The 26,283-nt window shown below is 33.6% G+C and overlaps 1 protein-coding gene across 12 annotated transcripts in view; it reads right to left on the reverse strand.

Moving 5' to 3' along the window:
* SPOCK3 (SPARC (osteonectin), cwcv and kazal like domains proteoglycan 3) overlaps positions 1-26,283 on the reverse strand; it is a 501,562-nt gene that overhangs the window by 39,386 nt on the left and 435,893 nt on the right. For 11 of the 12 annotated variants that reach the window (XM_017008258.2, XM_011532018.2, NM_001251967.2 and 8 more), the window contains one exon: positions 19,401-19,520. The exons of the other annotated variant lie outside the window; for it this stretch is intronic. In XM_017008258.2, coding sequence (XP_016863747.1) covers positions 19,401-19,520 — 120 coding nt within the window. The remainder of the gene's footprint in view (positions 1-19,400; positions 19,521-26,283) is intronic. 12 annotated transcript variants of the gene reach the window in all.

A 26,283-nucleotide genomic window follows, 5' to 3' on the forward strand; every position in this document is an offset into this window, starting at 1 on the left:
GTCATCTTGAGGTTTCTTTCCTTTTTGTTTGTTTGCTTTTGAGACAGGGTCTTACTCTGTCACCCAGGCTGGATGCAGTGGTGTAATCATGGCTCATTGCAGCCTCAACCTCCTGAGCTCAAGTGATCTTCCCACCTCAGCTTCCTAAGGATAAGACAATAGGCACAAGCCACCATGCCTGGCTAATTTTTTATTTTTGTGTTTTGTAGAGACAGAGTCACTGTGTTGCCCATGCTGGTCTCGAACTACTGGCCTCAAGCAATTTGCCTGCTTTGTCCTGCCAAAGTGCTGGGACTACAGTCATGAGCCAGCATGCCTAGCTTCATCTTAAGGTTTCTGGCATTCCTTGACTTCATTAAAGTTACTTCTCAGATCATTGTTTCTATAAGGGTCTCCTCTATTCATTATGATTATTTTCACAAACTTTTGTAATAATTTTTCTAAATGGAACTGACCAGGTCTAAATCTTATAAGAAATATCATACCGGAAAATAAAGGAAAATCTTTTTAAGCAAAACCTTTGTAAGTTATCTATGTTGCAAAAGTCAAGTAATTATCATAAAGATGTTCAATATTTAAGCTAAAATTTTAATTGTTATGAGACTGTAATGAAGGTGTGAAAAAACTGATGCTTTATTTTGCAGTGTAATAAAAGTAACTGTTTCTTTTAACTTAGATGTTTGACAATCAATAATAGGATTCTAGAGTTTAAAGCTAGATCGCATTGTGTTGAAAAATTTATACCAGAGATTGTATAAGAAGATAATACTTAACTCTTAAGACATTTTACAACATTCTATTATCTTATGTATTCATTTTTTCAGTCTTCTTCTTATGTTCTTTTACTACTTAGCTCTTAAATATTGGTATTCTCAGTGTTCACTTCTCAGCTGATTTTTTTCTAGTCTACATCAGCTCTTTATGGGTGCTGATTCAATTATACTGTTTTAGCTAACATTCCATTAGCTCACAATCTTTATCTCTAATCCACCTACCTCATTTGAACTTCACATTACATGTATATAAGCATAGGCACACATACACATTTTATATTAACTAGTATATTGATCACACCATGCACATATATGCATATATTGAACAAATGGGGCTTATAGGATATAATCTAAAACCACTCTTTTTTTCTCTTATACTCTGTAAATGTGTGATTTTTGGTAAAGGTTTTCTCCTATCTCTGGAAGAAAACTCAGGAGGTCCCATAATTTGTTCATCTCAGCTTTCAGTAACAAAAAGTTGTATTGTCCTTGTAAGGTACAAATATAAGATAATTGGCATTGCAAAATGTCTAATGTTATATAATAATCACAATTCCAAATCTGATTCTTTCTTTCTGTAGCTGGATATTTTGCTGGTGCAAAGTCAGGTAAGGAGAAAATGATGTTTCCTTAATCCTTCTCTATTTTTACTTCTAACTCTCCTCCTCCATCTTTTTTATGACCACCTCCAGTTTTTACGTGGATGAATGAACGATACGTAAGAGTGGACAGGGAGTTTCTTACCAAATTGATAACTGTCTTAGGAAGACTTTGTGCTGTATGGGCCTATCAGGTTTTAAAGGCTTCATCTATTTTCATACCCCTAGATACCTTTTTGGGTCTTTCAGGGGTCTGTGGAGTAAACATACAAGCATATGTCTTGTCATATGTGATATTTTTCTCTGGCTACCACCTCTTTGTCCCTGGATATCTGTGATCCATGTTTCCACTGGAGTTTACTCTGTATTCCCAACAGCCATCTCGGGCAGAATGTACATTTGTTCTCACCTGTGGCATTCAAATCTGATCCACAGTAAATATTCTTGTATTTCTTGCCCAGACCTTTAATTTCAAAGCAGCAGCAACTTTCCTTTGACAACAAATAAGTAAGCAGATCACAGCTGCCTCTGACGACTTTTAGATTTTTCTGGTGAAATTCAGGCCACAGTCTGCTTGTCTGGGAACACATATAAAGCTGTCTGAGTGGTTCTGTTGAAATCCCTCTCACAATTTGAAGTGTAAGCACCCTCATCCCTCCTTATAGGAATGGTGGAATCATAGCATAGCTCTTTCCAAAGAAACCTTCTTCACAAATTCTGTTGCCACCTTTGCTGTCTTTACTCTTTTAGATTTTCCTTTTGGATATGTTAACAGTTTAAGTGCAACTTGCTTACATTTGCAAATACCTTCATATCATAGCAGTACCTAGACTACTGTGTGGCTGAATAACAAGGAGTCAGAAACCTTGGGAGGGACATCTTTAGAATTCTTCCTACCACAATGTCTCTAAAGAGAGATTATTTGAGCAGAAATATAAAGGAAGTGAAATTATGACTATCTGGGGGAGTGAGGGAAGGGCATTCCAGGTAGAAGGAAGAGGAAGAGTAACGGATCTATGGTCAGAGCATGATTAATGTCACTGCAGAAAAAAAATGAACCAACGTGACTGGAGTAGAGTGGATGAGGAGAAAGTGGCAGGTGACGGGGTCAGAGCATGAGTGGTCTGCTCACTCACATATGTCACAGTAAAAACTTGCCTTTTACCTAGAGATCACCCATTTTCATCTCTGCTTCTTTTTTCTCAAGGATGGCTTCCAGGTGTTTGATCTGATCCGCTGAAATAATGGACTTGACATTTACTGAGTTGAGAAAGACAGCAGAAGAGTGGGTTTGTGTGGGGTATCTGGCTTTGGGTATGTTAAGTTTGAAATGCCTGTTGAACTTTCAAGAGAAGATTGGAACACAAAGTTAAATGTAAGATTCTGGGCATCAAAGCTAGAAGTATAAATTTGAAGATCATCTGTATATGGCTGATTTTCTAAATGGGATACTGAACAAAATCTTAAAGGTAATGATTACAGCTAGAAGAAAAAGTATCAAGTCTTTGGGACTACCAACATTTAGATATCAAACAGGTGAGAAGAAATCAGGAAGGTAGACTTAGAGGGTGGCCCATGAAGTGAAAAAGGTCTATTCACTGTTGGAATCCTGAATGGCTGTGGCAATGCTTGGCAAATAGTATGAATTTAAGAATATTTTGTAAAGACTGATTAAATGAATTAAGTGCTAAGTATATGCCAAACACTGTAAAGAGTGGGGCACACGCATGAAGAATACTAAATATGGAACAGATATAAATGTGCATTCAAACAACAACAAACCCAAAGTGACAAGTGGTACAGCAGGTGCTCTAGAACAGAGAAAAAAGAAAATAGTGCAAAGTGCCCCAAATGCTCAATAAAGGATACAACACATGAGGTAAAATTTGAAAATCTAAGAAGAGTTAAACCAGTAATAGTACTTTGTGATGGAGAGAAATTTGACAGAGGGACAGAAGGAGAGGAGGAAGCAGATAAAAAACATTTTTCTGGGCTGGGCACGGTGGCTCATGACTGTAATCCCAGCACTTTGGGAGGCTAAGGCAGGTGGACCAGGAGGTCAGGAGATCGAGACTATCCTGGCCAACATGATGAAACTCCCTCTCTGCTAAAAATACAAAAATTAGCTAAGTGTGGTGGTGGGTGCCTGTAGTCCCAGCTACTCAGGAGGCTGAGGCAGGAGAATCGCTTCAACCCGGGAAGTGGATGTTGCAGTGAGCCGAGATTGCACCACTGCACTCCAGTCTGGTGACAGAGTGAGACTCCATCTCAAAACAAAAGAAAACAAAAAAACAACAAACAAACAAACAAAAAACAACAAAAACATTTTCTGCTGGGTTTCAAAGGACATTTTAAAATATGAATTGGAAGAAAATATTCAATTAACTCCTCATCTTCTTAGATAACATTGACAACTTTGGATGCTAAAAACTAAGTGAGATTACAGGTAGAGAATACAACCCAAACAGTACAAATTTATCATTATTAGCTGGCAGGTACAGCTTAACAAAGGGATCTAGGAAGGAAAATACTTAACAACACTCACTCAAGGACTAAGTTAAGGAAAAAGACCAATATCCTACGTGTCCTGATGAAAATAATGTTAGAGAAGAGAGCATTCTTTAATTGTAAAAAGAAAGAAATATAACCACCTAAACATCTGCTGGATGCAGATGCCATGACTTATGGAATACATTAACATAAAGAAATCTTCACTTAAGGGCATAGAAAATTATCAAGGAAATAAACAATAAGTAAATAATTGCATTAAAAGTAATGATTTAAAATAATTCCTTTAGGCAGAAATGCAAAGACTGAAGGACATTGAGAAAACATTTTTAACTGTGAAAAATGTGAATATTACAAACATGTTTGTAATTATTAAATGCCAGGATTCTAAAACTCAGATACATTTTGTAAATTTTGAATAGTTAGCACACAGGCCAATAATAAATGTAAGCAAACAAAACACAGGAAGAATTAAATGAACAAAAATCTTTCTCTAGAGAGTTGATAGAGGTTTTTAATATAATTCAAATTGTTTTAAATGCATATATTGATCTATCTCAATCTAAGTTATTTTTTATTTACATGAAAAGAAACAAAAACATTGAGAAACAGTATAATAAAAGCAAAATAATTGTTATTAATATTTTGTAAACATTCCCAAGTTAGGTAAAATGCAATAGGAAAACATTCTTTGTGCGAGCATGTAATGTGCCAGCATGTACATGTATACCAGAGGCAGTTATTGCAACCTAGCTGAGTCACGTACTTGATATTGGTTTGCTATTACTTAGATTCTGAGAGATTGACTGGGAGATTACATGATTAGTGAAAGAGTATAGGTTTCAAGCCCAGTGTGGTGGCTCAGGCCATTAATCCCAGCGCTTTGTGAGGCAAGGTGGCAGGATCACCCCATGTCTCTATGAAAAACAAGAAACTAAGCCAGTTGTGGTGGTATGCACCTACAGTCACAGCTACTACTGAGAAGGTTGAGGCAGGAGGATCACTTGAGCCCAGGAGTTTGGGCCTGCAATGAGCTATGATTGCACCACTGCACCCTAGCCCAGGTCACAAAGTGAGGCCTTGTCTCAAAAAAGGTATATAAATACCTAAAAGTTACATTTCTTAGACCAAAAAACCTGGGGTTAAATCCTAGCTCTACCATTTACTGTGTGACTTTGGGTTTTCCCTCTCAACCATTTCAACTAGAAAGTGAAGTAAATAATGACTATTTTGCATTGTAAGGATTACATGAAATAAGGCAAATACTTATGCTTAATTGCTGAACCCTATGGTATCAGTACTATTAATAGATTACAAATTCCAGGTCCAGACCACAGTGTGCTTATTAATACTGAAAATGCTTTTGCTTGTCCTGCTTCCTCAACCTCCCACACTCACCAATCTTTGTAATCCCTTGGAAAGCACCAGAGGCCTACAAGACATGTCATATTTTGTAAGAATTGTCAAGCAATGTCTCTTCTCTTCAAAGATATTTCAAAAAATTCTGAAAAGCAGAAGCTATCAAACATAAATATTTACAATAAAAAATTCAACATTTCCTGATTATTTATGTTATTGTAGTAAATGAGGTTATTTACTTCTACAATGTAGACACATAAGCAGTACATTTCCCAATCTTATGAACTAGTAGGCCTGTATTATCAATTTTACTTGCTTAGTCCTCAAGTAAATCAATAGCATAGCTGCGAGGAACATAAATCGAAGTAAAATCATTCAAATGAAAGCAAAATCTGGGTAAATGTGCATTTCAAAACCTATTCTGAATGACTGAATTGTCCTCACTAATGACAGTTTAATATTTTTAAAGTACTGTAATACTGTCAGATTTGGCGAGGGGAAGGGGTAAACAGCAGGTATTGAGAAGAAAAGCACCATTCTGGTCCACACAGGATTCAATACACACTACTAGGCCTTGATTATTCAAGGACAGGTAAGACAAAATTCCTCTCTTCAAACTGTCATTTTAAAAATTATTTTAGGTTCCACTTTCAGTAATTGTTGAATATGGTCTTATAGAACCAGCACTGCTGCAGATAAATAATTGAATTCTAGACTTTTTTTTTTTCTAAAGCAGGAAGGGTATGAAGAGTTAATAGAGTAGGCAGATTCTTGTAGTCTGCGTGTTGAGGAAGGAGGTTATGTGTAGTGAATTTCCAATTTTTGCTGTTTTTTAAGTTGGGGGTAGGCAGAGTTTTCATGGTGCAAGGTAGCAATAACACTGGTAGAAAAAAATGCAGACTTTTTAGCCTGGAGAATCAGAAAGTTGTGTATAGCCACTGAGGAAAGCCGAAGAAATCCGAGAAGAAAATGAGATAAATTATCACCAAAAACCACCTACCCAAAACTCGGATGATCTATCAGCCACATATGTATTCCACAGGCTTCAATCACCTCTGCTAAGACTAGAACACTGAATTGAGATTGAAGCTGGCACCCAAGAAAGTGAGTTTCCATTTTGAGACCAACAAAGTTAATCATCTGTTAAATCAATCAAGCAACACTCTCTGGGGAAAAATAATGCAATGCAGCATCACACAATTCCATATTCATAAGGTCTGGAACACCATCCTGAATTTTGAGACATGTTAAAAATCAGAAATATGGAACTCATTCTCAAAAAAAAAGTAAAGATAATCAATTAAGAATAAATTTGAGGTGATCCAGTTGTTGGGATTAGCGGATATCATTTTAAAGCAACTAAGATTGTTAAATTCAATAAGGTAAAAGAAAACATGCTTGTAATAATTGCAACAATAGAAACTAACAGTAGAGAAATATAAATTATAAGAATGAACTAAATGGAATGTAAGAATGACAGTAACAAAAAAAACCTTTTAAATTAAAACTAAATTCACAAAGGAAAAGGTAAGTAAACATGAATATAGATCAATCAAAATTATCTAATTTGAAAAAAAAGAAAAAGATTGAGAAAAAACTAAATAGAACCTCAGGGAACTGTTAGGTAATATCAAGTGCTATGACATATACATTTGAAGTTCCAGAAGAGAGAAGAGAGATAATTGTGTAAGAAAATATTTGAAGAAATAATGGCAGAAAATTTGCTTAAATGCTTACATTTACAAATTAAAGATATGCAGGACTTTCCAAGCAGAATGACACAAAGGTCATTCCTAATCATAGTCAAACTTTCAAGACCTAAAGATTAAGGCCAATTTTGAAAGCAGCAGGAAGAATATGACACATAGAGGTAAACAATAATTCAATTTGTCTGGCATCTCGTCAGAAATTTTAGAGACCAAAAATGAGTTGAATAACATCATTAAGTGAAGAAAAAAATAATTGAAAACTTTCAACCCAATAATCTCCATTCATGAAAATATTACTTAGGATTAAAGGCAAGGACTCACTGGTTTCACCTAGAATGTGAGAAGTTAAAAAGAGTATTGTTCACAAATAAACAATAAGAAAAGTCTGAGTAATTAGCAAACCACAATTTTCTTGAATCCATAAGTGAGTTTATGTCCTAGAGCAATACAGTAACCCAGAATCTAAAAAAAGACATGTGCCTCCAAGAAAGGATGGAATGTGAACACTGGCTTACTTGAGACAGATACCAAATACCATGTAAGCTAATAAGAAAAATTCAATTTATATTTTCAGTGAATTGCTAAAGGCTGAGTGTAGGCTAAAATGACAGTAAATAAACTCTGGAAACCATAAAAAAAAGAAGAATTCATAAACATTGACAGACATGACTCCAGGATCTCAGTGTGTGCTCTCAAAGAAGACTTAGGGCAAGATAAGGGACCCAAGAAACCACCTGAGAAGCAGAAGCTGCTGTGGGAAAGGTATGAACTCCCATCCACATCCATCTTCCCTACATACCTTATGGAAGAAAACCTTAAATTCCTAGGGGTAAGCCCAATATCCTGTCACTCTCTAGATATAGGTGAGGATCCCTTGCACCAAAGGAAAAGAGTTAAAAACACAGCTGTACCTGGGAAAGGATCAGGAGAATATCCTGAGTATAGACCATTAAAGAACCTCTTCCACTAAGGGGGCAATAGGATTTCTGAGAAAGTCCTACCTTTGAGATTCAGATACATAGTACCTTCCTAAAGCTGTAGCTTAACAAAAATATGAAGGAATGCTCTCACTACCAGAGCAGCAAATGTTGCTTAAGAAGTGCCAACCTTCTATCAATGGTGGAGGGGTACAATCAAGAAGGGGGACCCTCTCTGAGGCTCAGTTGCAAAGGAAAAATCAAGAAACAAGTGGAGAAAAAGGCTGTGGCAAGCCAGTCTCACGCTAAGCACAAGGCAACCCTATAGTTACTTTAAGCCTGAGATGCACTGAGGATAACAAGAAAAAAACCAAAGCCAAAATTTTTAATTATCAGAATAGACTGGCTCAACTGCCGTACTAAAAGCCATGCAAAAGAAGAGGCATCACTAATTCCAGGCACAAATGTTATTTACATCCATCTCTACTGTTCTACACAATATATCCAGTTTTAACCAAAAAGATAGAGACATGTATAAAAGGAAGAAGAAAATAAACCAACAATAAACACGGCCAAGAGACAAAGCACTTGATAGAACCAGATTAGAAATAACAGATTTAGACATAATCAGAGAAATACTTTAAAATTACAATGATTAATAAGTTAAAGGCTGTAGTATAAATGGCGAACACTTGCATTAAAACTAGAGATGGAAACTATAGGAAAGAAACAAATACAATTGTTTGGGAGGAGGAGGCAGAGGATGATAAGGAGAAAGAGAAGAAAATAAAACAGAGGAGGAGGAGGAGGAAGAGAGAAGACAAAGGAGGAAGAAGAAGAAGGTGAAAAGGAGTAGGAGGAAAACAGAACTTAATAGAGCTGTGGTTATTATCAAACAATCTAAGAGAGAAGTAATTAAAATGTCAGAAGAAGAAGAAAGAGAAAAATGGGGTCGAAGAATATTTCAATGATTAATTTAGAATTCTCCAAAATTAATGAAAGACATCAAACCACAGAGATAAGAATCTTAGAGAACACTAAACAGAATAAACACCAACCAATCAAACAAACAGATATACAAACAAAATCTAGATGCACCATCGTCAAACTGTTTAAAGAGTGATGAGGAGAAACATCTCTAAAATAGTTACATATTTCATCAGAGTAGTAAAGAAAATAGCAGATTTGTCAGCTGAAACCCACAAGCCAGAAACAGCGGCATGACAGGGGTAACATGCTGAAACAAAACAAAACAAAACACAAAGCTCTCAACCCAGTATACTTTACCCAGTGAAAATATATTTTAAAAAAGAAAAATGAATATTTTTTAAGTTTTCTGGATATATAATATCTTTACACATTTATGGGATATGTGATATTTGGATACAAATATACAACAAATAATGACCAAATCAGGGTAATTGGAGTATCTGTCATCTCAAACATTTATCACTTGTTTGTTTTGGGAACATTCCAAGTCCTCTTCTCTAGTTATTTTGAAACATATGAAACACACAATAAATTAGAGTTTACTATAGTTCCTCCACTGTACTATCAAACATGAGATCTTATTACTTTTTACTTGTTTTTGTACCCATTAACCAACATACATCACATAATGATAAAGAGTTCAACAAGAAGATACAGTAACCCTAAATGTATAATGTATCTTAAAAGAGTCTTCAGAATACCTGAGAAAAAATCTAATAGAACTGAACAGAGAAATAGACAATTACATCTGAAAACATCAACGCTGTTCTAAAAGTACTCACTAAAGTAAGTAGATAGAAAAAGAGTAAGGGTATAGATCTGAAAATCATTGTCAACAAACTTGGCATAATTTATATTGACAGAATAGTCCAACAAATAATAACAGAATACATGTTCCTTTTATGTGCAGATGGGACATATTCTGGGCCATAAAACAGACCTCAACAAATTTAAAGAACTAAAGTCATTCAAAGTCTGATACTAAAACTAACCAGAATTACAGTAGAAATCAATAACAGAAAGAAATATGAAAAAATAGGTAGCATTTAAAAAGAAAATGCAAGCATAAGAATAAACATAAATTAACTGTAAATATATTATTTTTAATTCAATAAGGGTACATAATTTATTGCCAGAATCTGAGCTCACATTAATAAATTGTAAATAGGTTTAAAGATTTAAGTGCAAAAAATATATACATTAGGAGAATATACAAATCAGTATTTTTGTGAGAAAGACTTTCTTAAAGAACATGAACTAAGAGATATTCTAAAGTCAAAATAGAAAGGATGTAGTGAGAAAATATTTGCAACACAATGAAGTGTTAAAAGGTTAAAATAAACAGTAATAATAAGCAAGCTGGCACATACTGTGCATAGTATGAGCTTATATTTGCTAAAAATAGGTCTGTTTCTGTAAGTACATATCTTTGTATGAAAATGAAGTAGATTTGGTGGGGCATGGTGGCTCACTCCTGTAGTCCCAGAACTTTGGGAGGCCGAGGTGAGTGCATCACTTGAGGTAAGGATTTCAAGACCAGTCTGGCCAACATGGCAAAACCCTGTCTCTACTGAAAATACAAAATTTAGCCAGGCATGGTGGCACATGCCTGTAATCCCAGCTACTTGGGAGGGTGAGGCAGGAGAATTGCTTGAACCTGGGAGGTGGTGGTTGCAGTGAGCTGAGATCATGCCACTGCACTCCAGCATGGGCAACAGAACGAGAGTCTGTCTAAAAAAAAAGAAAGCAGTATTGGAAAACCATATAACTCAGGCTGCTAACATTTTCTACCTCATGAAAAAAGGGAATGAATGGAGTTGGTGAAAAGATATTCTCTTAATATACCTCCACGTGTTATTTTTAAAAAATAAGCATGCATTACTTGCACAATCAAAATACAAAATATAAAAATAAAGAAAATGGAAAATATACAATGTTATATGGATTCTTCCTTGCTGTGATATGTTGAAAATCACTTAACACTCATTAATGTCTCAAAGGAATCATCATAAAATTAATGGCTTTTGTATTGGCTAGCATATGGTTCAAGGACTGCAGTCCTTGATGTTTTCTCATTAAACAACCCCAAATAATTTTTTTAAGTTATTTTACTTGTTTTTATGTATACTTTTTCTATTGGTTTTAACTATCACTTCTTGATGCTTTTAAGACACCTATTTTGCAAACATTCAAGGATTTTATGTATTACTCAACTGGCATTGGAGTAAAGTTTAACAGGAATAATGTTTATAATTGACTATAATTGACTAAATATATGTGGTAACATAAAATTTTCTGTTTTGTTTTATTTTTCTGCAGATTTCTTAACCTCTTCATTGTTTTTTTTTGGGGGGAGGTGTTGTTTCATTTTGAATAGGTTCCGATAGTTCAGATGACTGGCTAAAATTGCTTAACACCCTACATGGCTTTATTTTGAAATTAAATATTTACATTATTGAAAACAGAATGTAATAAAGTTGACAACATTTCATTCACCCAGTGAGAAATGTTAAAAAATAGCCAATGCTGATAGCAATTGCCATTGTTTGGAATAATACAGTTCCTAAAGAAAGAATAAAGGATAACCAAAAGTTTGGTTCCTAGCAGATCCAATGCAGTAATTTCTCAGGACACGATAATGTAACAAAATAATTTTACTGCAGTACATCAATCACTTAGTACTTTTATTTTATAGCAATACTTTTAAACTACATGTGATTACGTTAATTTAGCTATATATGAATCGTATAATTTCAGCAAAATTAAAATATACAAATCTTAAGACAATACCTTAGTAATACTTAAGCATATAATTAAATTTTATTATAAGGAGTTAAGAGTCCACAGAATAAAAGAGAATAAAATGCCAGATGTCTCAATAATTAGAACCAAAATAAGCAATGATATGGATCTCTCATTTTATTACTTGAAATAAGAAAATTTATCTAATCTTCTCAAATATTTTGTTTCCAAAAGATGAAGTCTCCTGCTATACCTAGAAGACTCCTAATTGCATTAAAATGTGGCATTGTTTTAAACCATCTGATTCCACATTCAGTCTTTCTCTTAATGTGAAGACAGCATGACATAAAGTGAGCAGTATCTTGGTAAGAAATTAGAATGTATTCATTTACCCTGAAGGTTTACATAATTCTATCATTTTCTCCGACTGAGGAGAACATTTGGCTTGTAGGAAAGCAGATATAAGACATTATCTTAATCTTAGTCAGACTCTGCTAATCTGGGGATTTTGCATATGATGCTAATGTCCTGATGCTCTCCAAATTGTTAAAGGGAAAATTAGTACAATGTCACTTTCAAGAATTATGTATTCTTGATTGCAGCCATATTTTTAAAAGCCTGGGTATAGTATTTCTGCTATGCAATTTTTGGAGATTTAAATAATAAAATAAAATCAAGGTATCTTGATAATAGTAAGCACAACATATTCTTATTGAATAAAACATCACCAAGCATTTTCATGCTAATGATAATAGGATGAGAGGCTAAATAGTTGCATTTCCTTCAACTTCTTATCGTAAAACATATTTTAAGATTTTTACCATCTTAGTTACTTTTCTATGATCATTCCTTTGTTTTTCAGTGATAGCTCTAAAGTAAATCCAAACAAAATATATTCAAGAAGCCTGATTTTATAAAATAAAAATTAGGTGTCGATTGTTAAAAAATAATGACAGACTGTATAAACTCCATTTTTTAAAGCTATGACATTTTTGACCATTTTGTCAACTCAAATCATTTAGCTATGAAATATTTACACTGTCCAAGATTCAAGTAAAATACAATTCTTGAGTAATGACTGTGGAATTCTTTATGCAAATGCTATAATACAATTTGGTTGATTAAAATCTCAGATTACTATCATAATGTGTTTAAGAGTTAAGTATAATTACTAAAATAGCTACTAAAAAGACTATATATTTCATTATATTTTAAATGTTAACTAATGCAAAATATATAGCAATGTTGATTTGATGGTATGTGAAGCTAGAAAATCCCCCTTTCTTTGTAGAACTATATTCCACTTTCAAGGTTCATTGACTTTTTTGAAAAAGCAAAATATCTTTCCATTTAAATTTCATTAAGCTTTTACCCTTTTAATCCAATTCTGCTATCATCAGAATCTTGCCCTTTTGGAAACTATGTTATGTAGCAAATATAAGCAAGCAGCTACAGGCTAATTTATCACTCTTCTGAAGTTAGGACATTGTCCAGGTAACAATTTGTGATTAGACTTTTTGGTTTGTTCGTTCAACAAATTGTTATTGAGTCCCTACCATATGCCAAGGCCTTTTCTAGTGCCTGCAGGTTCTACAGTGGAAAACTATTGACCTTAGAGTGCTTATATTTTATTTGGAACAGAGAGAAAATAAGCTGGTAAACATTCATATATCAGGTAGCAATATTTACTAGAAAGAATAATGAAGCAACATAAAGAGGAGGTGAATGCTCTGGGGTGCTGTTGCTATTTTAGATGGGGTGGAAGGGAAGGCACCTAGTGAGGAATGTTTGGGCAACGAGCTGGATGAAGTGAGGGAGTGAGCCATACAGATACCTGGGGGAAGAGTGTTCTAGGACAAGTAAAAGACAAATATGAAGGATGTGCCTTTACTATGAAGAATTATATTAATCAAAAATTCTACAACACTTTCTGGAAGTCACAGAGAAGTCAGCAGGCAATGGTTAGTCCCTAAGAGTAATCTGTACTCACAGTTTTTAGCAGTCTGGCTTATGATTAGGAAACAAATGAAGTTAGAGAGTATGCTACCCTTCTGCACTCAGCGTAAGGATCACTAGCTGCCATGCAGTTAGGATATAAATACTAAGAATGAGATTATGATCCTGGATCATGAGATTAGGAAAAAGAGAAAAAAATATCATGGCTTAATTTGTATTCTTACCTATTATAACACAACTGGGAAATTAAACACAAATAAAAGGTATGTGATACTCAGGGACAGAAAATAGGTTAAAGTCTAAAGACTAACTTAAATATAACAAGTAGTCAATTCTTAGATGACTTATGTCAGGTTGACCTCTAAAAACTATTGTTTTGTAGTTCCAAAATTGGTAATTTCATAAGGTTCAACTTAATATTTGTAATCATGCTCAACAATGTTTGGCAAAGCATTGGCCCTTGTCGTGGCCACTATTTCCAGCCAACTTTACTGGATTGTACCTATGGCCTTTATTGCCCTATATTTGGGGTTGGAAAAATCACGTATCTAAGACTTTGCAGGGAAACGGAGTGCTGAATTTTTAAGATTATTTAAGGAGATAAAGTATTGACAAAGAAGACACATGTTAGCATCCTTTCTGCTTTCTCCTCCTATGTGCCAAGCAGCTCAGCACCAGCTCAGATGCACCTCTTGAAGTCATTCATTAACTTTCCACTTGTATGCTAGTCTTTAAAGTTAGACCAAACAGATGTAAATATTGAGAATTAGTTTTTAAGAAACTATATATTCTATTCACACGTATTCTAATATTATAGAAAACAAGCTCTATGGTATTTCTAGATAGTAAAAATGACCATTTTAATGAACATTACGTTAATAATTTAAATGTAATTGGAGATAAAGATTCATCAAAAGACAAAGATCTAAGTCAAAGGTAATATTGTACACATTAAACAATAGATATTAGCATTTAAACATTCTTTGTACAACCAGAAAAACGTGTGATTTGGCTCTCTCTTGCATGTTTGCACATAATATCACTATTTTGACACTAAATATAAATAAGCACAAAATACTTTGTAACTAATAACTAATAAAAATAGAGATTGCTGTTAGAAGAAACAGGTGATTTGGTTAATTTTCTGATTTTAATTACTATTCAAGAATATATAGTTCTATTCACTAAGCATCAATAACAAATAATTTTAAAATTAAGTAAAATCATAAAATAAACAACATTTAATAAAAAACACAAACAAGCGTTTTTATACATTATTATGCAGGCCTACTGTGACGTTTTCTATATGAAAATGGAATGATTAGGCATAGGGTTACTAAGAATAACTCTGTTTTAAAAATTCAATTCACATAATTTTAAAAAGACTGGCGAAAATGACTGGTTTTATATTATTTAATAAAACATAGTGATGATTCTAGTGTTATCAGCATTAAATATAACATAGCTTACATTATTATTCTATTTGGATATATTTTTCCTAAATATATATAGGTATACTGATGCAATTGTTAGCATTATATCTACTAAGTGTTTGAGATTATAAAAAACATAAATTTGGCCAGGAGCAGTGGCTCATACCTGTAATCCCAGCACTTGGGGAGGCTGAGGTGGGCGGATCACCTGAGGTCAGGAGTTTGAGACTGGCCTGGCCAACATGGTGAAACCCCGTCTTCACTAAAAATACAAAAGGTTAGCTGGTGTGGTGGCACACACCAGTAATCCCAGCTATTTGTGAAGCTGAGGCAGGATAATTGCTTGAACCCAGGAGGCGGAGGTTGCAGTGAGCTGAGATGGCACCACTGCAGTCCAGCTTGGGCAACAGAGTGAGACTCCATTTAAAAAACAAACAAACAAACAAACAAAAAAACCCAGAAATCATAAATTTATTTTTAACCAAATTAAATCATGTAGATGACAAGCTTTATTTCAACAGTAATTATGTTTTTCAATAAAGCCAACTTAAAAAAATCTCCAAGAACTTTTGGCAATTTAAAATGTTAGAGGTATGTTAGATTAAGTTAGTTAATAGGTATTCCTCAATCACTATCTAATCTAACATCTACAACATTTTTAAAAAGATAAAACACAAAAGCATGCTTTGTAATTTATATACTTTTTATCTCTTATTTTTATAGTTTAGAGAAGCTGTATATACTTTGCTCTGTTAATAAACATGTTCATTCTTGCCACATTAAAATGATATACTATAAAGAAGTATATGAATATTAAAAATGTATAAAATTTATATTCATAATATCTGCTTATTTACTACAAAATGCTGACAAACCTTACAATTATCCACCTCATAATTATAGCTATAAAGTGAAAATTATTATAACAAAAAATTATAAATGATTTTCTTAGGAAAAATCATGACATAAGGCAACTTTGTAAACAAGATATACAAGACGTTTTTTTAAAAAACTATAGTGCTATCTTAATAGAAAATGACTAATCATCCTAAAAATGTGTAAAAAATGAATAAAATGTAAAAATTATAAAAGATTCATGAAAAACATTTTTTCATCATCAATGCTGGCTAATTTTTAAAAGATTTCTTATAAGATTTTTAACAATAGTATCAAATATAATACTGATGCAAACCCAAAATTTGATTTTTCTCTCTTTATTAAAATGACACAATGTTATTGGATTTTTTGTCTGCTATAAATAAGAGATTGTAAAATACATTTTTATTTGGCTTCAGTATAAAATGCCTGAAGACATTCTATATCTTATCAGAATATTTTTCTCTGCCTTATGTTGACTTAACCACATCCTTAATTATTAAAAATACAAAAACTTGCCGGGTGCGGTGGCTCACCCCTGTAATCCCACCACTTTGGGAAGCCAAGGCGGGCAGATCACCTGAGGTCAGGAGTTCAAAACCAGCCTGACCAACATGGAGAAACCCCGTCTCTACTAAAAATACAAAATAACCCGGGCGTGGTGATGCATGCCTGTAATCCCAGCTACTCGAGAGGTTAAGGTAGGAGAATCACCTGAACACTGGAGGGAGAGGTTGCAATGAGCCGAGATCACGCCATTGCACTCTAGCCTGGGCAACAAGAGCGAAACGCTGTCTCAAAAAAAGAAAAAAACCAAAACCAAAACCAAAAACAAAAACACCCCAACATTTGCTCACTGTCATATTAAAAAATCAAAACCAAACTATGGATTTTCACAAGAAAGACACTTAAATGAATATAATAAAGAAAAGCTGATCAAAGTTTTTAACAAAGATATTAAACAAATGTGATAAAATGGAATGTAGGGGTGATAACATTAATATCAGATAAGTTGAAAACTGTGCTTTTTAGTTCCCCCTATTTTTTAATGTTCAAATTCACTACTAATAAATAAAATACAAATTTAATTAACAATGAAATATAATGGCATATTCATCAGAATGGAAAAGTTAAAATGAATGGTAATATTTTTTGCTATTAGGGATGCAGGGAAAAGTTAACTCTCATGTCTTGCTGGTAAAAATGCAAAATGCCGTAAGCTTTTTACAAAGCAGTCTGGCAATATCTATTATCTTATGTAATTTAAAATGCATGCACATTTTGACTCATTGCTTCCACTGCTTGTAATCTTTCTCACAGAAATAAAAGCATAAAAATTGACTACAGTAATAACTGTCATGATGAAAATAATGAATATTATCAATAATCATTCCTAGGGCACTAATTGAGTGACTAAACTATGGTATGGGTACACAATGTAGTATATTGATTGCTTCTTTGCTTCATTCATTCATTAACTCCTTTCAGTTTTATTTAGTGAATAGTATATGTCAATCTCTATCCTAGGTTCTGGAAATACAGTGGTGAATAAAGACCTCTTACTACATTGAGTTTAAGTACTCTGGTTGGGAGAGAGACAGAGACATTTAAATAAACAAGTAGATTATCACTATATTAGATCTGATAAATGCTCTGAAGGGAAAATAAAAATAGGAGATGGGAGTCTGATATAGGAGGTCTGGTTCACAAATTAAATAAGATAGACCCAAAGAAGAATTCACCCATAGGGTGCACAGATCTGAGGAGCTGAGGGAGCCGAGGGACCCAGCCATTTCTTGTCTGTGGATTTGTCATGCCTATTCTAATGGATAACTTCCCTTTGGAAATTTTTTTCTAGCTGGTCTCTGACTCCTTCAAGCAGTATACATAATCCTGTGGCCCACTTTTTCCGATCCTGTCCAAAGATATTCAACTCTAAAGAAGTTTCTTATAATTAATCTACTACCTTTAGAGAGTCTCATGGAATTTATTGACACATGGAATTTATTGACAGAAAAAGCTAGAAAGGAAAATATTTGTGAATGTGTACAATTACCCAGGCACCTTGCTGAGTGTTGCAAATGTTCTTCATTATCTATCTCCATATCTGGAAGTGCGCATCAGTCTGAACTCAAGCTTAGGTTAAAGGAGAAATTTTAGCGCAAGCAATAAAAATGTTCATCTATGAATATTGGGAGTGGATATGAATTTTAAAAACAGGTGTGAACATGAATCTTTAAAAAATCAATATGTAAGGGTATGGAAGAAACCTTCTCCCCACTCCAGACATCTTTTCTTCATAAATACAGAGGCAAATATACTGAATCATTATTTCTATTAGGCAAGTTAAAGCTCAAAGGCATCAAAATATTTACATTTGCCAAAAAATTAACCAATAAATCCAGAGATAAGCCTGAGGAACTCTTCTATAGGAAATGAAAAATACTACAATTTCTTCATGAAATTCATAAAAAGAAATATATGGATTAGTCATTACGCATTCAAAGACAATTACTAATCTAAAAGTAATGGCTTAATTGCACTTCTGCATTAAATCATTTCACTATGTAAATTAGATTCATAACTAAAATAGATTGAAATTGTAGAAAATTCCTTAATGTGAAAAAAATAAATAAGGCATTTTAGGAATCTACAGAGGATTATCTTACTACACCATTTTGTTAGAAACTGCACTTTGAGGGTAGCAGGTGAGAGTGGATGGATCACATCAGGATAGGCGATGAATGTCACACATCTGGTTCTTCTTTGTCAGCCAAGAGATGTGGCTTGTAATTGCTACTCCTTCCCCTTTTCTTGTGTTTTGGAGCACATGCTTCAATCTTTGAAAGATTCAGCCCGTGTTTCGATATCCTTTTACATGCATTACATGATAAACACATTTTTATACAAATGAAAATAATATAAAATGAAAAGTTTATAAAATTATTCATAACAAGTACCCTATTTCAATTTGTATTTCTTATTTCCAAGGAATTAAAAAAACTTTTAGAGAATTATACTGATAATTAAAAAAAATTGTAAGAGGTATATGGCTCTTTTTTTTCCTTCTGTGTTTTACTTATTTAATTTGCAGATATCCTCTCTTGTCTACTGATCCATTTCACACAGGGTCAAAATAGAGACACCAGCAAAGTAATCTTGGAAAGGCTACCATACGGGGGAGTTCTGTTGTATTCTTTAAAAATCTAAGTACTCCAATTTTTTACCTTTACTTTCTATGTTGTTCTACTCTTTACCACCTTAATAAAACACTGAAGAATATTCCCATTGTTTCTAGTCTACTGAAAGCTAAACACCCTCTGAGGAGACATTCCCTTTTCCTCCAATAAGAGTTGTCCTAAATGCCTTATTTCCTTGCAAAATAATACAGGTGTGCTTGGAAGTAATAACGTTCTGATTTTTATTCAGTATATATGCAGTGAATAAATACTGAAATATGTGTTTTGTTCTAAGTGGTTCATTGGAAATAAAACTTCATAACAGATACAGTAGCAATGATCAAATTTAGAAATCTTACTGCTTCTCTCAGGCCTCAGCAATGTTTTTGTCTTCTTGTTTTGACTTCCACTTTCATGAAGGGCCTTGAACCAGTCCCGCAATCTGTTTGCCACTTCCCTGAACTCCAGGTCACTGCATGCTAAAAACAGAGAAACAACACAAGTCTTGAATAATATCTTAGTATAATGTTAGTGCTATTTCTCTCATTAGTCCAATAAACTGAAAGGTAAGAACGACTAAAAGAAAAAGGTGTGACTGCATTTCAGCTTTTTCAAAGTTAAATATATGCCTTAAAATAAGATGTAATATGACAAAAACATTTTACTTAATAAAGAAGTATTATTAGTGGAATTCTACTTGTGCTCTTCATTAGAATATGACACTTGGAGGATTTGTATTGATAACATCACAAAAATTGAGTCATAATATTTATGTCATAAATACTTTTTTATGCTGGGGTGATAGGTTATCAGAGAAAATAAAGGGTTGAAAATCCAAAATGATCATTATACATTTATTGTTGGCCATACCTCTTGTAAGATGTCACAATTTATAATTATTTATTCATATACTCAGTATATGTAGGAATGCACTATTATAAATATATACTGTTCCTATTTGATTTAATGCTATATATTTGTTAAGCACAGAAAAGAAACAGCTATATAACTTGTGATTAGGAAAAAACTATAAAATATTTAAGAAAGTACTATAATGTTTCTATTGGAAAAAAGATTGTACTGGCAAACTTTAACATTTGGAACTAAAGTAACTTCCTCTTTGTTTTTTAAAGATATCATTATTTATCAACAATTATATTCTTTAAAAATAGTTTATGCAATAAGCAATTAGCAGAATATGTGTGTGTGACTGGCTTAAAATATAGCATTCAAATTTAGTAATTTACTGCAAAAATATTTTGAAAATATATTTTGAAAGCCACTAATTTACATTGTTTAGAGGACGTTGTTACTGCAGACCAATCCCTTGTGCATGCTGTAAATGTGCAATTTCCTCAACTAACAAGTAATTCATGCTAATACTCATTTGTCCATTTGATTAAAAATTATGCAATTATAGTATGTTTTATTACATTTAATATATACCATATACATTATATTATATGTATCATAAATAACATAATGTAATGTAATTGGATGTAATACCATCCCAGACCATTTCCTAGCTCTAAAGTAGGGGTATCCAATATTTTGGCTTCCCTGGGCCACACTGGAAGAAGAATTGTCTTAGGCAACAAATAAAATACACTAACAGTAATGATAGCTGATGAGCTGAAAAAAACAAAATGCAAAAACATCTCATAATGTTTTAAGAAAGTTTACAAATTTGTGTTGGGTCGCATTCAAAGCTGTCCTGGGCCACATGTGGCCTGTGGGCCATGAGTTGGACAAGCTTGCTCTAAAGGAAATAAACTCCTAAATTAAAAGGAATCCCCCAGTACCTGGTATGGTGGGATGACCAAATTAGCCAATCATTGTGACATTTTAGAACACTGGAGACAAAATGAAGATCTCATAAACTTCCATGGGGGAAGGTAACTAAAATTGTTACATACAAAGAATAAGGAATCAGAAATGCCTTCCAATATTTAAATAACACTGAAAGGCAGCATAGCAACATAAAAATTATTTCATATTTCTAAGAGAAATCAGGTGGGAAAGTAAGGTAAAGAAATTTTTACATATACAGGATCTGAAAAACTAACCATCCATACAATCTTTCCCCAGGATGCTAGTACAATATGTGATACACCAGAGATTAAATCAACAAGAGGATGTCTGGGTCACAAGAACTAATGGAAGAGAGAGGTGAAGGGCATTTATAGGAAGCTGGTGAAGGATAATTACAGAGTGTGTGCTCTGTGCCCAGTGCAGAGCAAGATGGCAGTAAGATTGAGATTTCTTGGCCAGGGACAGAGCAATGTACAGAATTCATTGCCATCCTTTCATCCAGGGAAAACAATAAGCTACAGTGAAAATCAAAGAAACCATCACTTTTACTGATAAGGTCCACCATGGCTGAGGCTGAGGTGATAAGGCAAAAAAAAAAAAAAAAAAAAAAAATAGCACACTCTTGATATGAATGCTTACACTGTAGCCTGCTGTCTCTGTTTAAGCCATCTTGACATGGGTCTTCTGCTCCCCTTAAAGGGATAGGCACAAGAAAACAAAAACCTACTTGAAAAGGAGGAATTCTACATATGCATACATACTTGTGTAAGCGTCACATATCTCTAGAAGGATTTATATAAAGAAGTAACTACCAAGGGAACTGGATTAATGGAAGAAAGTGGTGTGAGAGAGTTTTATTTTTACCATTCATCTCTTTCTCCTTTTGAATTATGTACTATATAGCTGTATTAATGTTCAAAAGTCAACAAAAAATTTTTAAAATTAAAAAAACAATTACAAATGCATCTAACCCTTGACCCAGCAATTGTTTCTTTTTCTTTTTTTTTTCTTTCTTTCTTTCTTTTTTTTTTTTTTTTGAGACAGAGTTTCGCTCTTGTTGCCCATGCTGGGATGCAGAGGCACAGTCTCGGCTCACTGCAACCTCTGCCTTTCGGGTTCAAGAGATTCTCCTGCCTCAGTCTCCTGAGTAGCTGGGATTACAAGCCCCCGCCACCAGGCCCAGCTAATTTTTGTATTTTTAGTAGAGACGGGGTTTCACCATGTTAGCCAGGCTTGTCTCGAACTCCTGACCTCAGGTGATCCACCCACCTCGGCCTCCCAAAGTGCTGGAATTAAAGGCGTGAGTCACCGCGCCGGCCCGTTTCTTAAAAATGTATCGTGCAGGTATACTACATGTATACAAACACATTCATTTAAATTGCGCTATGTTGTGTATTCAGCACTTGTTTAATAGCAAGTTTGTTAACAGCATAGCACTCCATCATGTACACTATGGAGGTGAGATCTAAGAGAAGACAATGAACATTTATTGATCATATTCATCAACTCAAACACTGGAGTATCAGCTTCTTTTATAACACCATCAGCTAGTGAATTCATGTTACCTTGTCCAAATCATAGGTATTTGGTAGCACATCTGGTACTCCTAATTTAAAACAATTTCTATTATTTCAAATTAACATCTTTTCCTACCAAAAAACCGTATATCAGTAATATATCTACACAGAAATACTGTATAGTCGCATCCCAGATTCTTAGCATTTATTATTCAGAAAGGTTCATGTGTAATGAGAATTGATGGAGAGATTTCAGGAACATTTCAGTAACTTCCATAAGCCCAGGACATCTTAGCTTTGGAGTATTATTAAAAATAATACTTTACGTATAAAACTTTTGAAAACATTTTAAATAATTTTTCAATTTAATTTTCATTTGACAATAATTAACCGATTTACTTTAAAATTGGCAATAATTTATCTGAAACCATTGGCCAAAACAGGGATTCTTGCCAAATTAGAAAGTTTAAACCATACACTTTCTGAAATTAATTAAATTTGATAAATATAAAATTTAAATATTAATAAAGTTGATATATTTTATAACTAATAAATGAAGTATTTATTAATAGTAATTATCATTTTCATGTTGTATTTGAGAGTCAATAAATATTTTTTTCAGGTGTCAAACTTTTACATAATTTCTTACATTTTAATAGGCACAAAACTCTCTGCCTATTACAAAAATCTCTTAAAATGTCCCCTCATTCCCACACACTGTACTAACTGAATGTTTATGCTCCCCCAGATTCATATGTTATAACATCTAATCCACAGTCTTATGGTATTAGAAGATAGGGACTCTGGGAGGTGATTAGGCCATGAGGGCAAAGGCTTCACGATTGGCATTAGTGCTCTTTTAAAATGGAATCCACTCAGATCCTTCTCCCCTTCCACCATGTCAGAACATAGCAAGAGGAAGGCCATCTATGAACCGGGACCTGGGCTTTGATCAGATACCGAATTTGCTGGTGCTGCCCTGATCTTGCACTTCCAGTCTCCAGAATTGTGAGAAATAATTTCTGTTGTTTATAAGCCTGTGGCATTCTGTTATTCTTAGTAGACTAAATTGACTAAGACACACTATAACATACTTAAATGTAGTTATCAAGAACATGAATTTATTAAAGAATGAATATACTCATATCTGGCAATATGAGTTGTTAATTATGATTATGTTATACAATAAGGAAGCTCAGATGAAAATACAGAGGTCCAAGCAGAGGGGATGCTCTGGGAAGTTTCAAATCAGAGGCAGAGTCCGCATTTTATTGTGCATTATCTTTCAGAAAATTTTTAAGTTTTGTTCCAATAGTATATTTAACAAGCTGTCTCGTATCTCTACTAGGCTTGATTCATAAAGTTTTTTAAAGCACTTCTAAGGTCACCATTCATTTTTGCTTAATGTTAAAAAATAATACTTTATGTCACAGATGATGAAATGAAGTGGTATAGGTATTGGTGATTTAAACAAATTCAGTAAATTTAGTTCACAAAATACCAGGCATAATTTATTATTTTTTCCCTTATCAATTTTTGGTAAAGAGATTTTTCTAAGTCTGATCTATGAGGTGAAGAAATGCAACACATCATTCCTTACTCTTCATAAATAAAAAATATTTGCTACCACCACCTTCCAACAATGTAATGTTTAGGAATTTTGATGGTCTTCCTGATGGGATTGATTTGTATATAAGTGTAGTACAGTTAAAATCTGGCAGAATACAATTACTCTAAGGCAAAAAGGCTTAAGTTGGCTCCAATGTGATTATTTTCTTTCAAGATATGTCCATTACACAAAGAAAAGTCCAAAGTACATGTCTCTCAGTGTCAACTCCAATCCTCCCATTACCTAGGGCCACGATGTCCTAGAGACATGAAAATGACAATATAAGACAAAGTGCTCTGATGGCACAATGTTTATTTCAGATTGAAGAGGAGTAAGGAGGATTTATTACTTGTTGGACTCTTAATTATTCAAGTACAGATAATCATATATTCTTGAATTAACTCTATTTTTATACCTCACTGGGACAGGTACAAAAGGGAATTAATAAATATTTATAATTTAAGTGGCATGGATTTCCACCTTTCTTTTTTTTTTTTTTTTTTTTTGAGAAGGAGTCTCACTCTGTCCTCCAGGCTGGAGTGCAATGTTTCTAAGTGGCTTTTTTTTTTTTTTTAAACAAAGCTTTGATATTTGCTTTATTTGATCTTTTTTATTCAATACATGTTCAGATAAACCTGGCTACAAATATGTAAACAACAAGAAGAAATTACATAATCTCAAAGAACTCTTTTGGCTTTTTATTTATTTTTTGGTGACTTTTAGTTTATGATATCCTTCCAAGAATCTCTATTTCCTTTTCCTAGGCTGTAATCTTCCATAATGATGGTTTCCTTCTTTCATTTGAAAGGCCAATTATGAATCATCTAGTTGTTAGAAATTTTAAACTCTACTTTACTTTACATGAGTGATGGAAACATTTTAACATTTTTTATAACAGTATTAAAAACTTATTTTTTTTCTGAGTACACAGTAAGAGATGCCAATTTTGTAAATGCAGATTCTAATGTATATTAACAATAATAAAAATAAACCAGTATATTTAACACTATAATCAATAAGTAGCTACTATAAAATATTTATTGTGTATATCTGCTATGCATATTTTACATAGCTTGAATAATGTTAGATAAACAATATTTACTTTTACACCTTTTCGTTATGTTATAAAATGATAATTTTTTAGGTCATTAAAATATCTGAAAACAAAATACAGTCAAATGCTGCATAACAATGTTTCGGGCAACAAAGAACATCATATACAATGTTGCTCCCATAAGATTACAATGGAGCTGAAACATTCCTATTGTCTAATAATGTCAACACATCACTCATGTTTGTAGTGATGTTGTTGTAAACAAATATACTGTGCTGCAGTGGTAAGAAAGTCTGATATATATAATTATGTACAGTATATAATACCTGATCATTATAATAAACAACTATGCTAGTGATTTATGTATTTATTATACTCTACTTTTTATCAGTACTTTAGAGTGTAATCCTACTTACTAAGCAAAAAGTTTCCATTAAGACAGTATGCTGTGTTAAGCCCACAGAAGCCTCACACATCTCGTGTTTACTGCAGCCCTTGATTGTGTAACCTCAGTTGATTTACTCTCTTGTTTTGTTCATCACGGCCCCTAACAATGCAAAAGCCACTGCTAATTCTGCCAGTAAGAGGCCCGTTAGAGTGATTGTCATGGAGACTAAATGAAAAGTGATTAAGAACTATGAAGGTGGAAAACCAGTGATGGTTATTGCTCCCCAGGCAGGCATATTCCATTCCACCATAGCTATGATCAACAACAAGAACAAAGTGACAGAAGCTGTTAGAGAATCTGCTTCTTGGAGGCAACAAGACTAAGAAAAATTCAAGAATGGCCTATATCAGATACGGAGAAACTTCTTATGATCTGGATTAAAGAGCAGACACAGAAACACATCCCTCTTGGCACCATGATAATTATAACCAAAGCAAAATTTGTTTGCAATATTCTAAGAAAAGACAGTACCCAACTACAATGTGGAATTTACTGCTAGCTCTGGGTGGTTTAAACAATTCATGAATAGTTATTCATTATATAATGTAAAAGTGAGTGGTGAGTATGCAAGTACTGATGTGACAGCAGCAGCTGAGGAATTTTGGGAACTTCCAAAAATCAGATTGTGTAATTCCACAATCAGATAAGCTGATTGTGCAGAAAAAAAATACTTGCATGAGCAAATCTTCAATATGGATGAAAACTCCCTATTCTGGAAACAAATGCCTGAAAGAACTTTCATCCCTAAGAACGCCAATTTAATGCCAAGATTTTTTAAGGATGGGATAACAGTCTTGTTTGG

Source organism: Homo sapiens, chromosome 4 (assembly GCF_000001405.40).
Source record: "Homo sapiens chromosome 4, GRCh38.p14 Primary Assembly".
In the NCBI taxonomy this organism is placed as follows: Eukaryota; Metazoa; Chordata; class Mammalia; order Primates; family Hominidae; genus Homo; species Homo sapiens.